At 37.8% G+C, this 15,004-nt stretch overlaps 1 protein-coding gene across 16 annotated transcripts in view; it reads right to left on the bottom strand.

Moving 5' to 3' along the window:
• Positions 1 to 15,004, bottom strand: part of ADAMTSL1 (ADAMTS like 1) — a 1,004,318-nt gene that overhangs the window by 378,500 nt on the left and 610,814 nt on the right. The window lies entirely within an intron of this gene.

The following is a 15,004-nucleotide window of genomic DNA, read 5'->3' as shown; positions in this document are numbered from 1 at the left end:
CACTTTGGTGTTTGATAAATGATAGTATGGTAAACCATCTTTGTGCATGTGTTTTATCAAAGTTTCTGACTGTGTTTTTTGAATAGATAAATTTCTAGAAAGAGAATTACTAGACTAAAGGGAATGAACTTTTGTAAGGCTCTTCATAAATATTGCCAAAATGCACTCCATAAAAGTTGTACCATTACATACTCCCACCAGCAATACATGAGAGTTTCCATTTTACTGCATTCCTATGAACAAAAACAATCAACTTTTGATAAAACGTTCAATGCTGACACTTAAATCATGAAAAACAGTACTATACTCTTTTCAAAATATGTCACACATTTTTTAAAAAGTAAAGATACACTACAAAATCCTGTGAGAATGATTATACTAATACCTAGTAGTTTTAGAATTCCAGGTACATTTATAAGTTTGTTATATGTATAAATTTATTTAATATTCTCAAAAACCCGGAGAGATAGAGTACCATCATCATATCCATTTTACAGATGACAAAACCGAAGCTTAGGAAGGTTAAGTAACTTGCCAAAATGACACAACTGTTAAGTTGTAGAGCTAAAATTTGAAACCAGGCCATCTGGCTTCGGAACTCACACACTCATGATCACAATGCTTTAATGCCTCCTAATTTACTTTTTTATTCAATAAACGTCCACAGAGCTTCTGTGATGTGTTTGGCAATGAAATTACTGTGAAGAATACAAAGAAGAATGAATATGACTTGGTCTTTGTTATTAAGAAAATTAATTATATAATTTGGTGTAAGAAATGCATATAGCATTTGTATTAGGTCTTGAGAATGTTACCAGAAGGAAAATGTCATCTGACAACACAATTATACACAGACTATCTTAAAAATATAGAAAGGGTCCCATTCCTAAAGACTTGACTGTAATCAGACTGACTATTACTATGCATTAAAAATAGAAAAGGAATGGCTGGCCACACATTGAAACCATAGAAATAAGGAGCATGACAAAGACACATGTGTGTCAGTGTCCAGTCCAGCAATGTCCTAGACAAAAGGCGAATGAATTTCAAGTCCTGCATGTCCCATTGACAAGACTGCTGCAATCTCCACATAGATGACTCATGCTGACCTTACTGATACCGATGATTATTCAGCTCATCCAAGTACCACCCCTCATTACGGTGTCAGGTTGATCAAGCTACTTGCCAAGAGTGATCTGGATTTTCATGACTGCTGAGAACAGAGAGTGCTGGCCATGCTGACATGAGTACTCTGGTCCATGTGATGGACAGTTCTGTTATTTGCTGTAAATTAATCAACTGGCATTCTAGTTTGAAATATTCATCTCATGGGCTGAGTTATTGTGAGTACACCCCTAAGAAAAGGATGTGTTCTTGGTGCTATTGCTGAAAAATATCAGGTTTCTGACTCCAACAATATGAGAGCTAGGTTCCAGCTGATGGTAAATTTACAAGGTAATTGAATTCTAAAACTGGAAGGTCTTTGGTAGCATCCCATCTAGACACTGGTGTTTGCAAAATGTGGTATGCTTTTCAATTTTGAAGTTCCTGCTGCATACGTACCACAGTGCAGTGATTAAGAGTACCCAGTTTAAAAATAGGCTCTGCTTTCTAGAATCTTGGCTCTATATCTCAGTTTTATCTTTGGTAAAATGGGATGATATTACTTATCTCCTGGAATTATGAGAATTAACTGAGTTAGTATTTGTGAATCACTTCAGACTGTGCCTAGGACACAGTAAGCATTATGTAGATGTTAGATAAATTAATTAAGTACATAATAGATGTAAAAATATAATAGCTATTGAAAGGAGGTCAAGGATATATGGAGAAGAAACTAAGCAAAGGCATAGAGGCACAAGAAGATTTGGCATGCCTGCAGATTTTCAAACAGTTCTGGTTTTCGGGGGATTTAGGGTTTATGTGGGGAATTGCAGTAGGTGAGTGAAATACCTACTAATTTTGAACTTTGTAATACACAAAGGGGAACCACTGAAGGTATTAAAACGGAGGAGATTCAATGGTGAGATTTTGCTTTTAAAAGGTAAACCCTGGTGTTAACTATTGGGACTTTAATAGTATATGTTTTTCATCCTTTTTAAAAATTTTTTACCTAACCTTATATCCATGAAAAAAATTATGGAAACAAATCTGAATTAGGAGCCTGAAGATCTGGGATATAGATTTTGTTCTTCCACTTGCATAAACCTCTTGCTCTCTTAGGGTCTTAGTTTCCTTACCTGCCAAATGAATTTAGGAAAGCCTATGCACAAAGTTAGGATCACCAACTGAAATAATGTACAAAAGCTCTGTTCAAATGCCAAGGGATTATTACAGAGATACTGCTTCCTAAACAAAACAAAGCAGAAAAATACTTGTTTCAATAGTTTAAATGAGCCTTTTCCCCGATATTTTAACCTGCAAATACCTACACAAATTTTACAGGCATCACTGAATAATAGGAGATATCTGCACAGAATGTAAAAGATGGATTTAAATACTTATTATTTAGGAAAAGCAAAACAAAACAAAAGCAAAGCAAAGAAAACCCACTTGTCATAATTTCCAAAGAATATCCTGTAGTTGTCTAATGCCTAATATGGATTTGCAGGTAATTTATGGATGCCTCTGAACTATCTTCCCTTTAATATATTACTTTTTTGAGAGCTTCTTTAATTTGACTGAAATATGATATTAAGGTGGTAATGCTTAAGTATGGCAAGGTGATCATTATTGAAAGACATTATCAAATTGTGAACTATAACAGAAACACTAGTCTCTACTATTAAATTGTGGATTATAATAGAAACACTAACTAGTCTCTACTATTTATTCAGTGCCTACTATAGATATTTGGCCCAGTGTTAGGTATTCTGCGTATACTATCTCTAATCTTCCAACAACTCGCAAAATTTTATTATTCCTATTTAATAGATGAGAAAACTGAGGCAGAGAAAGCTGAGGCTTAAAGTTACATACACAGAAAAGTGAACCAGGGATTGGAATCTAGGCGTGACTAACTCCTAAGTCTATCAAACAATAAGAAAAGGAACATGATGTGCTCAAGATACATAGTATACTAACACTAAGCTAAAAATTCGGAAAGCTGAGAAGGGAATAGGCCTGAGGTTGACCTGTCTTGTTGTTATTATATCAGTTTATAAACTACTTCTCAATTCTGGTAAATCCGTTTCTAGAAAAACATAGGTAGATACACATTGGAACATCTCCAAGAAAACCATGTTCATCAGTAAAATGCAATGTGAAAGAACTTCAGTGCAGAGAAGCTTATATTTTTGAAAGTTAAAATTTATGAAATTTGAATATAAATTTCACATAAGTAGCTAGGTGACTATTCCACCACAAGGATTTAATTCCTGCCAAGTGTGAATTTTTTCATCCAAGGCATTTATCTGGGCACAAAATCCCTGTCAGAGAATTAAGCAGTAAAAAATGTTTTCCTTCTTTTTTTTAACAGGTCGTTAATATAAAACAGCTGAGTGATTTCTTTCACATTTAAACAAAGTAAAATTTACCTCTGGGGATGAAAACAAACATTTGAAATTTGAGTCCAAAATGACGTCTGAGAAAAGCTATAGACAAATGATAAGAGAGGATTTAAATAAATATGTCCTCCCAATATAAACTATAAAATAGTTACAGCACTGTGTTTCGGGAGTTCAGAACTATATCAATTATGAACTCAGAAACTGGGTCAAGTATGAAAGAACAAAATATAAGTATTAGAATATATTTTAATATAAAAATGTAATATGCACAGGTATGTTTCTTCTAGCACTATTCACAATAGCAAAGACATGTAATCAACCCAAATGGCCACTAATTATTGACTGGAAAAAGAAAATGTGGTCCATATACACCATGGAATACTATGCAGCCATAAAAAAGAACAAGATCATGCCCCTTGCAGGGACATGGATGGAGCTGGAAACCATTATCCTCAGCAAACTAATGGAGGAACAGAAAATCAATCTCACTTACAAGCGGGAGCTGAATGATGAGAACACATGTATACGTGAGGGGTGAGAACACGTGTATACATGGGGGTAACAACACACACTGGGGCCTGGGGAGGCTGTGGGGAGGGAGAGTACCAGAAAGAATAGCTAATGAATGCTGGGCTCAATACCTAGGTGATGGGTTGATCTGTGCAGCAAACTACCATGGCACACGTTTACCTTTGTAACAAACCTGCATATCCTGCACATGAACCCCAAACTTAAAATAAAATAAAAATAAAAATAAAAAAATGGGCCAGGTGTGGTGGCTCATGCCTGTAATCCCAGCACTTTGGGCGGCCAAGACAGGTGGATCATGTGAGGTCAGGAGTTCAAGACCAGCCTGGCCAACGTGATGAAACCCCGTCTCTAATAAAAATACAAAAATTAGCCGGGCATGGTGGCAGGCACCTGTAATCCCAGCTACTCAGGAGGCTGAGGCAGGAGAATCACTGGAACCCAGGAGGTGGAGCTTGCAGTGAGCCGAGATTGTACCATTGCATTCCAGCCTGGGCGACAGAGCAAGACTCCATCTTGAGGGGGGCGGGTGGAATACATATATATATATTCTAATTCAAATTTGCAACAAAAATTCCTTATTTGCTTAATCACCATTTTACTCCTGCCCAGTCAGATTTTGATTTAATTCCTTCTCTTAAAAATAGAAATAATCTCAATCACAAGCTATTATGTGTGAATTATTCAGTCTTTAATTCACTTAAGAGATTAGTATATACTGGATACATACTTTATTTGTCTCTCATTAACGCATAATACACCATCTAAACTTCCACTTCTTAAAATCCTGATGTTATAGTTTCAACTGTCATTTAACAACCTGAGAAGAGGTGAAATGACATGAAAAATTAAAAGATTTTTCTCTAGGGTCAAACAACTTGTTAGCTTCTTGTTCCCCCATCCCCCTTCTCATATAAGCCTTTTTAAAAAGGGGCATGCATTTGATTTATCGCTCCTTTACTTTAAAATTCTTATCATCTCTTCACTAAGCAATAGATCCTTCTGGTGACATAGCCAGACTTATACCTGATGTCAATACATTGTTTCAAGAAAATCTGGTCATTCTGCATTTAACACTTCTGGGTTTTTAAGGACAATTGCACTTATATTAGGCTCATGGCACCCCAGGCTTTATCTCTGATTGCTAAAAAGCAAAGAATGTTGCTAAGCAAGAATGGGTTACTGTATTTCCCTGAATATCACTAGCTTTTCAAATACGGACTTATGGCAAAGAATTTTAAAGCAGGATGGTCCATCTGGTTTTTTTCTTTTTGCTTTTGCTTTTTTGAGACAGCATCTCATCTCATTCTGTTACCCAGCCTGGAGTGCAGTGGCACTATCATAGCTCACTGTAACCATGAAATCCTGGGTACCACTGATCCTCCCACCTCAAACTCCTAAAGCACTGTGAATACAAGCCTATCTCTCTTCTTTCAGTCATCCAAAGAAATCTATGAGCTCTTTACAAGAGAAAAGACATAAAGCCATGTTTCGCAATTCAAGCCCCAGGGATCCTGGGCCATTTAGACTGTGGATCTTAGAGCGACCATAGATTAGAACAAGATAAGCGGATTTGCAACCCCACCAAGGGATTTTAAGTAGTACTGGAACACAGTTTCTCCTGTCACATCAAATGAGCATTTCAGTACTCACTGGAGCTATACTGCAGGAGGTTGCCCCCAATGAGCCAGTTAAAAAAATTCTCCAAACTAAGCTTCATAAGTGAAGGAGAAATAAAAACCTTTACAGACAAGCAAATGCTGAGAGATTTTGTTACCACAAGGCCTGCCCTAAAAGAGCTCCTGAAGGAAGCACTAAACATGGAAAGGAACAACTGGCAACAGCCACTGCAAAAACATGCCAAATTGTAAAGACCATTGATGCTGGGAAGAAACTGCGTCAACTAATGAGCAAAATAACCAGCTAACATCATAATGACAGGATCAAATTCACACATAACAATATTAACCTTAAATGTAAATGGGCTAAATGCTCCAATTAAAAGACACAGACTGGCAAATTGGATAAAGAGCCAAGATCCATCAGTGTGCTGTATTCAGGAGACCCATCTCATGTGCAGAGACACACATAGGCTCAAAACAAAGGGATGGAGGAAGATCTACGCGGCAAATGGAAAACAAAGGCAGGGGTTGCAATCCTAGTCTCTGATAAAACAAACTTTAAATCAACAAAGATCAAAAGAGACAAAGAAGGCTATTACATAATGGTAAAGGGATCAATTCAACAACAGCAGCTAACTATCCTAAATATACATGCAGCCAACACAGGAGCACCCAGATTCATAAAGCAAGTCCTTAGAGACTTACAAAGAGACTTAGACTCCCACACAATAATAATGGGAGGCTTTAACACCCCACTGTCAACATTGGACAGATCAATGAGAGAAAGTTAAAAAGGTTATCCAGGAATTGAACTCAGCTCTGTACCAAGTGGATCTAATAGACATCTACAAAACTCTCCACCCCAAATCAACAGAATATACGTTCTTCTCGAAACCACATTGCACTAATTCCAAAATTGACCACATTGTTGGAAGTAAAGCTCTCCTCAGCAAATGTAAAAGAACAGAAATTATAACAAACTGTCTCTCTGACCACAGTGCTATCAAACTAGACCTCAGGATTAAGAAACTCACTCAAAACCACTCACCTACATGGAAACTGAACAACCTGCTCCTGAATGACTACTGGGTACAAAATGAAATGAAGGCAGAAATAAAGATGTTCTTTGAAACCAGTGAGAACAAAGACACAACATACCAGAATCTCTGGGACACATTTAAAGCAGTGTGTACAGGAAAAATTTGCAGCACTAAATGCCCACAAGAGAAAGCAAGAAAGATCTAAAATTGACACCCTAACATCACAATTAAAAGAACTAGAGAAGCAAGAGCAAACACATTCAAAAGCTAGCAGAAGGCAAGAAACTACTAAGATCAGAGCAGAATTGAAAGAGATAGACACACAAAAAACCCTTCAAAAAAATCAATGAATCCAGGAGCTGGTGTTTTGAAAAGATCAACAAAATTGATAGACCACTAGCAAGAGTAATAAAGAAGAAAAGAGAGAAGAATCAAATAGATGCAATAAAAAATGATAAAGGGGATATCACCACTGATCCCACAGAAATACAAACTACCATCAGAGAATACTATAAACACCTCTATGCAAATAAAGTAGAAAATCTAGAAGAAGTGGATAAATTCCTGGACACATACACCCTCCCAAGACTAAACCAGGAAGAAGTTGAATCCCTGACTAGACCAATAACAGGCTCTGAAATTGAGGCAATAATTAATAGCCTACCAACCAAAAAAAGTCCAGGACCAGACAGATTCACAGCCGAATTCTACTGGATGTACAAGGAGGAGCTGGTACCATTCCTTCTGAAACTATTCCAATCAATAGAAAAAGAGGGAATCCTCCCTCACTCATTTTATGAGGCCAGCATCATCCTGATACCAAAGCCTGGCACAGACACAACAAAAAGAGAGAATTTTAGACCAATATCCCTGATGAACATCGATTCAAAAATCCTCAATAAAATACTGGCAAACCGAATCCAGCAGCACATCAAAAAGCTTGTCCACCATGATCAAGTGGGCTTCATCCCTGGGATTCAAGGCTGGTTCAACATACACAAATCAATAAACGTAATCCAGCATATAAACAGAACCAAAGACAAAAACCACATGATTATCTCAATAGATGCAGAAAAGGCCTTCAATAAAATTCAACACCCCTTCATGCTAAGAACTCTCAATAAACTAGGTATCAATGGAACATATCTCAAAATAATAAGAGTTATTTATGACAAACCCACAGCCAATATCATACTGAATGGGCAAAAACTGGAAGCATTCCCTTTGAAAACTGGCACAAAACAGGGATGCCCTCTCTCACCACTCCTATTCAACATAGTGTTGGAAGTTCTGGCCAGGGCAATCAGGCAGGAGAAAGAAATAAAGGGTATTCAATTAGGAAAAGAGGAAGTCAAATTGTCCCTGTTTGCAGATGACATGATTGTATATTTAGAAAACCCCACTGTCTCAGCCCAAAATCTCCTTAAGCTGCTAAGCAACTTCAGCAAAGTCTCAGGATACAAAATAAATATGCAAAAATCACAAGCATTCTTATACACCAATAACAGACAAACAGAGAGCCAAATCATGAGAGAACTCCCATTCACAATTGCTTCAGAAAGAATAATACCTAGGAATCCAACTTACAAGGGATGTGAAGGACCTCTTCAAGGAGAACTATAAACCACTGCTCGAGGAAATAAAAGAGGATACAAACAAATGGAAGAACATTCCATGCTCATGGGTAGGAAGAATCAATATCGTGAAAATGGCCATACTGCCCAAGGTAATTTACAGATTCAATGCCATCCCCATCAAGCTACCAATGACTTTCTTCACAGAATTGGAAAAAACTACTTTAAAGTTCATATGGAACCAAAAAAGAGCCCACATCACCAAGTCAATCCTAAGCCAAACGAACAAAGCTGGAGGCATCACGCTACCTGACTTCAAACTATACTGCAAGGCTACAGTAACCAAAACAGCATGGTACTGGTACCAAAACAGAGATATAGATCAATGGAACAGAACAGAGCCCTCAGAAATAACGCCGCATATCTACAACTATCTGATCTTTGACAAACCTGAGAAAAACAAGCAATGGGGAAAGGATTCCCTATTTAATAAATGGTGCTGGGAAAACTGGCTAGCCATATGTAGAAAGCTGAAACTGGATCCCTTCCTTACACCTTATACAAAAATTAATTCAAGATGGATTAAAGACTTCAACGTTAGACCTAAAACCATAAAAACCCTAGAAGAAAACCTAGGCAATACCATTCAGGACATAGGCATGGGCAAGGACTTCATGTCTAAAACACCAAAAGCAGTGGCAACAAAAGCCAGAACTGACAAATGGGATCTAATTAAACTAAAGAGCTTCTGCACAGCAAAAGAAACTACCATCATAGTGAACAGGCAACCTACAGAATGGGAGAAAATTTTTGCAACCTACTCATCTGACAAAGGGCTAATATCCACAATCTAAAAAGAATTCAAACAAATTTACAAGAAAAAAACAAAAAACCCCATCAAAAAGTGGGAAAAGGATATGAACAGACACTTCTCAAAAGAAGACATTTATGCAGCCAACAGACACATGAAAAAATGCTCATCATCACTGGCCATCAGAGAAATGCAAATCAAAACCACAATGAGATACCATCTCACACCAGTTAGAATGGGGATCATTAAAAAGTCAGGAAACAACAGGTGCTGGAGAGGATGTGGAGAAATAGGAACACTTTTACACTATTGGTGGGAGTGTAAACTGGTTCAACCATTGTGGAAGACAGTGTGGCGATTCCTCAAGGATCTAGAACTAGAAATACCATTTGACCCAGCCATCCCATTACTGTGTATATACCCAAAGGATTATAAATCATACTGCTATAAAGACACATGCACACATATGTTTATTGCGGCACTATTCACAATAGCAAAGACTTGGAACCAAACCTAATGTCCATGAATGATCAACTGGATTAAGAAAATGTGGCGCATATACACCATGGAATAGTATGCAGCCATAAAAAGGATGAGTTCATGTCCTATGTAGGGACATGGATGAAGCTGGAAACCATCATTCTCAGCAAACTATTGCAGGGAAAAAAAAAACAAACATCGCATGTTCTCACTCATAGGTGGGAATTGAACAGTGAGAACACTTGGACACAGGAAGGGGAACATCACACACTGGGGCCTGTCATGGGGTGTGGGGAGGGGGGCGGGATAGCATTAGGGGATATACTTAATGTAAATAACGAGTTAATGGGTGCAGCACACCAACATGGCACATATATACATATGTAACAAACCTGCACATTGTGCACATGTACCTTAGAACTTAAAGTATAATAAAATAAAATAAAAATTCTACATTCCTGAGACTCTACAAAAAACTCAAGAGGAATAATAAATTGTGAGAACAACTGAGAGAAACAAGTGCAAGTGTACTGTCAGCTTCTTTTCATTTTCTGCAGATACATTGTTATTATTATTTTAAATAATTTCAACTTTTATTTTAGACTCGGGTACAAGTGCAGGTTTGTTACACGGGTATACTGCATGATGCTGAGGTATGGGTTAGGGATGATCCTGTCACCAGGTAGTGAGCATAGTACCTGTTAGGTAGTTTTTCAGCTCACCACCCCCTCTCTCCTCCTCCCTCTAGTAGTCCCTAGCACAGACACATTATTGTAAGAGTTTCTTTCAGGAAATACTTGATACCAGTCAACTTGACCATGAAAAAGGAAACTATATGAACCACTGGACCCTGTGTGTAAAGCTCTTCTCAGATGCTCACTGTCTTCATCTGTGGTTCAGACTGGATGCTGAACACCCAGGGACTAGAACTGGAGTCTGTGCATAAGAGATGGTTACTTGTGGTCTTACCTCACATGGGAGAGAAAGAGGAGTTAGATGACAAGCCATCCCTGTGGGTTTCACAAGTCCCATATTCTAATCTTTTTCTTAGCTTTGCTTTACTCTTGTACTTAAAAATGTCATTCTATCATGTTCTACATTTTATTCTGTGTTTAAAATAATTATTATTTAATTCTAATTTATAACATCATAAACAAAAATTACAATGAAACTTGTTTATGTAAAAGCATTATTTTGAGGGGGCTTGCTCCCAACAAGAGGAGGCAATTCAGCACTGTCTCTTCTTTAAAAGTATCTGCAGATAACCATGCTTATACTGTATCTTCATTATATATCATATCTCTAAACAATTAGACATGTTCCAGTATGCATCCCTAGTGAGTACTTTATTAATATTAACATATTTAAATTATTTTTAATAAACATTGAATAAATATATATTTATTCAGGACAATGCTTTTTTTAAATTTTTAATTTTTGTGGGTATCTAGTAGGTGTATGTATTTATGGGGTGCAGAAGAGGTTTTGATACAGGCATGCAATGCATAATAATCACTTCATGGTAAATGGGTATCTATCCCCTCAAGCACTTATCCTTTGTGTTACAAACAAGTTAATTACACTCTTTTAGTACTTTAAAAATGTACTTTGAGGCCCCTCCTCTCTGCCACATGCTTCCAGATAACCCTGTACCTCAAATAATAAGAAATTTGCTTACAATGTTCTTCATAACAAGTAATGTTTAACCTGGTAACACCTGCCTATGGAAACTGACCTTAAACATTAAAATGTGTCTTTGTCCTTTTTTGAGGCTAACATTCACATTTTTCCCTCATTTGAGGTTAAATCTCCTTCATTGAACAAAGCCACTAAAATGCTAGAAATAAATGCATCCCCTGTACATATAACCACCAGTGGAAAGGCGGAAACAGAGGTTCTTGGTGCTTTGGGACTTTCAAAAGCATATATAAAAAATCTCTCTTTCTCCTAAGCATTTAGATGAAAGGTCCCTGAATCCCACGCAGAAGCAGTTTTCCACTGCCTTTTCTACATGGGATACATCACATGGCTCAAACAGATTAGTACTAAGGGAGAGATTAATTTTTTTTTTGAATAGATAGATATACAAGCCAAACAATTATGATGACTTGATAAATGTGGCTTTTGAAAATGCTTTCTGTTGTAATAATACAAGAAACAACAAGGTGGCATGCTGCCAGGCATCATCCATCAGTAGGTGAGCTGGCTGGGAACAGACACATCCCTGGTGCCATGTTAGCTCATCCCAGTGTGCCAGAGGCACTAACAAGGCCCTAGGGAGCCAAAAGAAAAGTCAGCCTTAAAGCCGCATTCTCAAAGCAATTTTAAACTGATCAGAGGAGAGTGAAGGTCCAGATTGAAAAATGGTGCTGTAACTTGTGAACTAGACTTAAAAGTGTTTCTTTGGCATAGATAACATATTTTTGTGACCTCAGTTTTGTAATTCAACACTTCTGCTCTATCCTAATCTGTCATTATAAAAATGTTCTGAATGTAGTGCCAACTTGGAAACACTGATTTATGTATATCCAGAGAGTTACTAAAACTTATTGTGGAGACTAAATTTGATATAAATAGAAATTATGTAGGTTTGGGGTAAACGGTCTAAGACAACATCCTCTCTGGTTGTTTGATCTTCTCTCGACCATATGGAACCAAGGAAAGCACCTCTGCACTTTTACAGATTTTTGAGCAACAGTTAGGAGGCTGCAAAGCTGGTAAATTAAAATTTAGACCCACATGAGAATATTATAGGCTGAATTGTGGAGTTTGTCCTTTAAGTTTCAAATTGGCTTTTTGCTATTATGACTGTTTGGTATGTCTAAACTATAACTAGAAAAATCACTGCCAATTTTTTTTTCCAAACAAGTATGATTTTACATATCCCTGCCTGTTCTTCAAAGAAAGACATGCTATAGCAAAGCATCAAGTTTTCACAAATATGGGCTGCAGTTATGAAAATGAGGAGTATACTCATGTAATCAGAAAAGAAAAAGGTGAGAATGATGACACTGTAGACCATAAAGGTCATGCCCAGCTTCTAACGAAGCCAGAAACTGCTCTGAACATACTGCTCAAAAAATCTAATGAGACAATGTACAATAAGCACTCCAATGCGGAAAGTGAGTCCTGGGCAGTGCTTCCTGGTTAACACGCTTTTTGTATAATGTTTTCCAATTTGCAGTCACTTAACACATTCATTGGGTATCCAGTCTATACTAGTACTAAGCAAGGCACTGTGAAAGACACAAAAATGGTGGCCTCCCTGATTCTTATCAAAGTTATTATTTACTTGAACAAATCCACACGAATCAGAATAGAACACACAACAGCATAATGCCTGGTGAACAACTCATAGGAATGATCTGAATATTAAATACAGAAGGAATTTGAAAAGGCAGAGATTGAGGAGAGGGCAATAGCTTACAAAGGAAGTATCTTAGGTGGGAGGTCCTATATGGGTGATAGGAGTCCCAAGAATGTGATGGGAGAAAGGAGACTTTGCGATTCAGCCCTCGCTTCCTCCTCCTGCTCCCTCGAGCACTACACTAGGTTCTTACCCTATGTTTAACTCAGTAAATTCACCTAACAGTGACTAGATACCTACTCTGTGCAAGGCAAGAAGGTTTAAAGAAAAGGAAAATAAAACCTGAGACCATAACACTGATAATGTAATTAGAGACAGTACCATATGAATAACGATAACACAGCCAGACTATGTAAAGGTGAATTAAAGGTGATGCAAACAAATTCCTCACAAATATAGCATGGTGAGACTCAGGGGGTACAGGTGAAGTTGGCTTTAAATAACATTTAGGATTTTCACAGGTGAGTATGGGGAGGGAGGGACATTGTAGGTAAAGAGCTCACCAGGAGAGGAGGCAGAGAGGTAGCAAAAGGCCAGCATTTTAAAGTTCTAGGACACCATCCTGTAGCACCCATGCCTCTTTTACTTTTAGAAAACCAGCCTGGCCATCATGGTGAAACCCTGTCTCTACTAAAAATACAAAAATTAGCCAGGTATCATGGCGCATGCCTGTAATCCCAGCACTCAGGAGGCTGAGGCAGGAGAATCGCTTGAATCCGGGGGGCAGAGGTTGCAGCGAGCTGAGATTGTGCCACTGCACTCCAGCCTGGGTGACAGAGGGAGAATATGTCTCAAAAAATAAAAAGAAAAAAGAAAAGAAAACCATATTACCATTTAACCTAGCAATCCCACACTGGGTATCTAACCAAAGGAAAAGAAATCATTATATAAAAAAGACACCTGCATTCATATGTTTATTGCAGCACTATTCACAATAGCAAAGTCATAGAATCAGCCTAAATGTCCATCAATGGATGACTAGATAAAGAGAATGTGGTACATATACACCATCAATACTACTTAGCCATAAAAAGAATGAAATCATGTCCTTTACGGCAACATGGATGGAGCTGGAGGCCATTATCCTAAGTGAATTAACTCAGAAGCAGAAAATCAAATACCATAGGTTTTCACCTATAAGCAGGAGCTAAACAATGCGTACACATGGACATAAAGATGGAAATATTTGGCACTGGGGACTCCAAAAGAGGAAAGGCTGGGTTGGGGGGCGGGGTGGAAAAACTGCCTATTGAGTACGACGTTCAATATTTGGGTGATGGGTATACTGGAAGCCCAAACCCCACCATTATGCAATATACCCATGTAATAAACATGCACATGTACCCCCTGAATCTAAAATAAAAAATAGTAAATATTTTTTGACAATTATTTACTTTTTTCCCTTGCAGTCTGTTTGGTCTCTGAGCTGCAGAATCTAGCAACATGCTTGGTGTACTGTTAGTGCTTTACAAATATTTCGTGAGAGAAGGAAGGAAGGAAAGAAGGGAGCAAGGGATAGAAGGAGGGAAGGAAAGAACAAATGGCCAAAGGAAGAAGGAAGAAACATACAGAAGGAACTGTTATAAAGATAACTCCAGGCCATGAAGAACTTTCGGCCTCACATCTGTTCTACAAGAAACCTGATTAAAATCTGTCTATAACAAGAAAAAGCATTATTCACAATAGCAAAGACTTGGAACCAACCCAAATGTCCAACAATGATAGACTGGATTAAGAAAATGTGGCACATATACACCATGGAATACTATGCAGCCATAAAAAATGATAGGGACATGGATGAAATTGGAAATCATCATTCTCAGTAAACTATCGCAAGAACAAAAAACCAAACACTGCATAATCTCACTCATAGGTGGGAATTGAACAATGAGATCACATGGACACAGGAAGGGGAATATCACACGCTGGGGACTGTGGTGGTGTGGGGGGAGGGGGGAGGGATAGCATTGGGAGATACACCTAATGCTAGATGACGAGTTCGTGGGTGCAGCGCACCAGCATGGCACATGTATACATACGTAACTAACCTGCACAATGTGCACATGTATCCTA

The sequence above is a fragment of the Homo sapiens genome, chromosome 9 (genome assembly GCF_000001405.40).
Source record: "Homo sapiens chromosome 9, GRCh38.p14 Primary Assembly".
Taxonomy (NCBI): Eukaryota; Metazoa; Chordata; class Mammalia; order Primates; family Hominidae; genus Homo; species Homo sapiens.
Note: the sequence above shows the minus strand (reverse complement) of the source record. Positions and strands in the feature narration are given on the sequence as shown.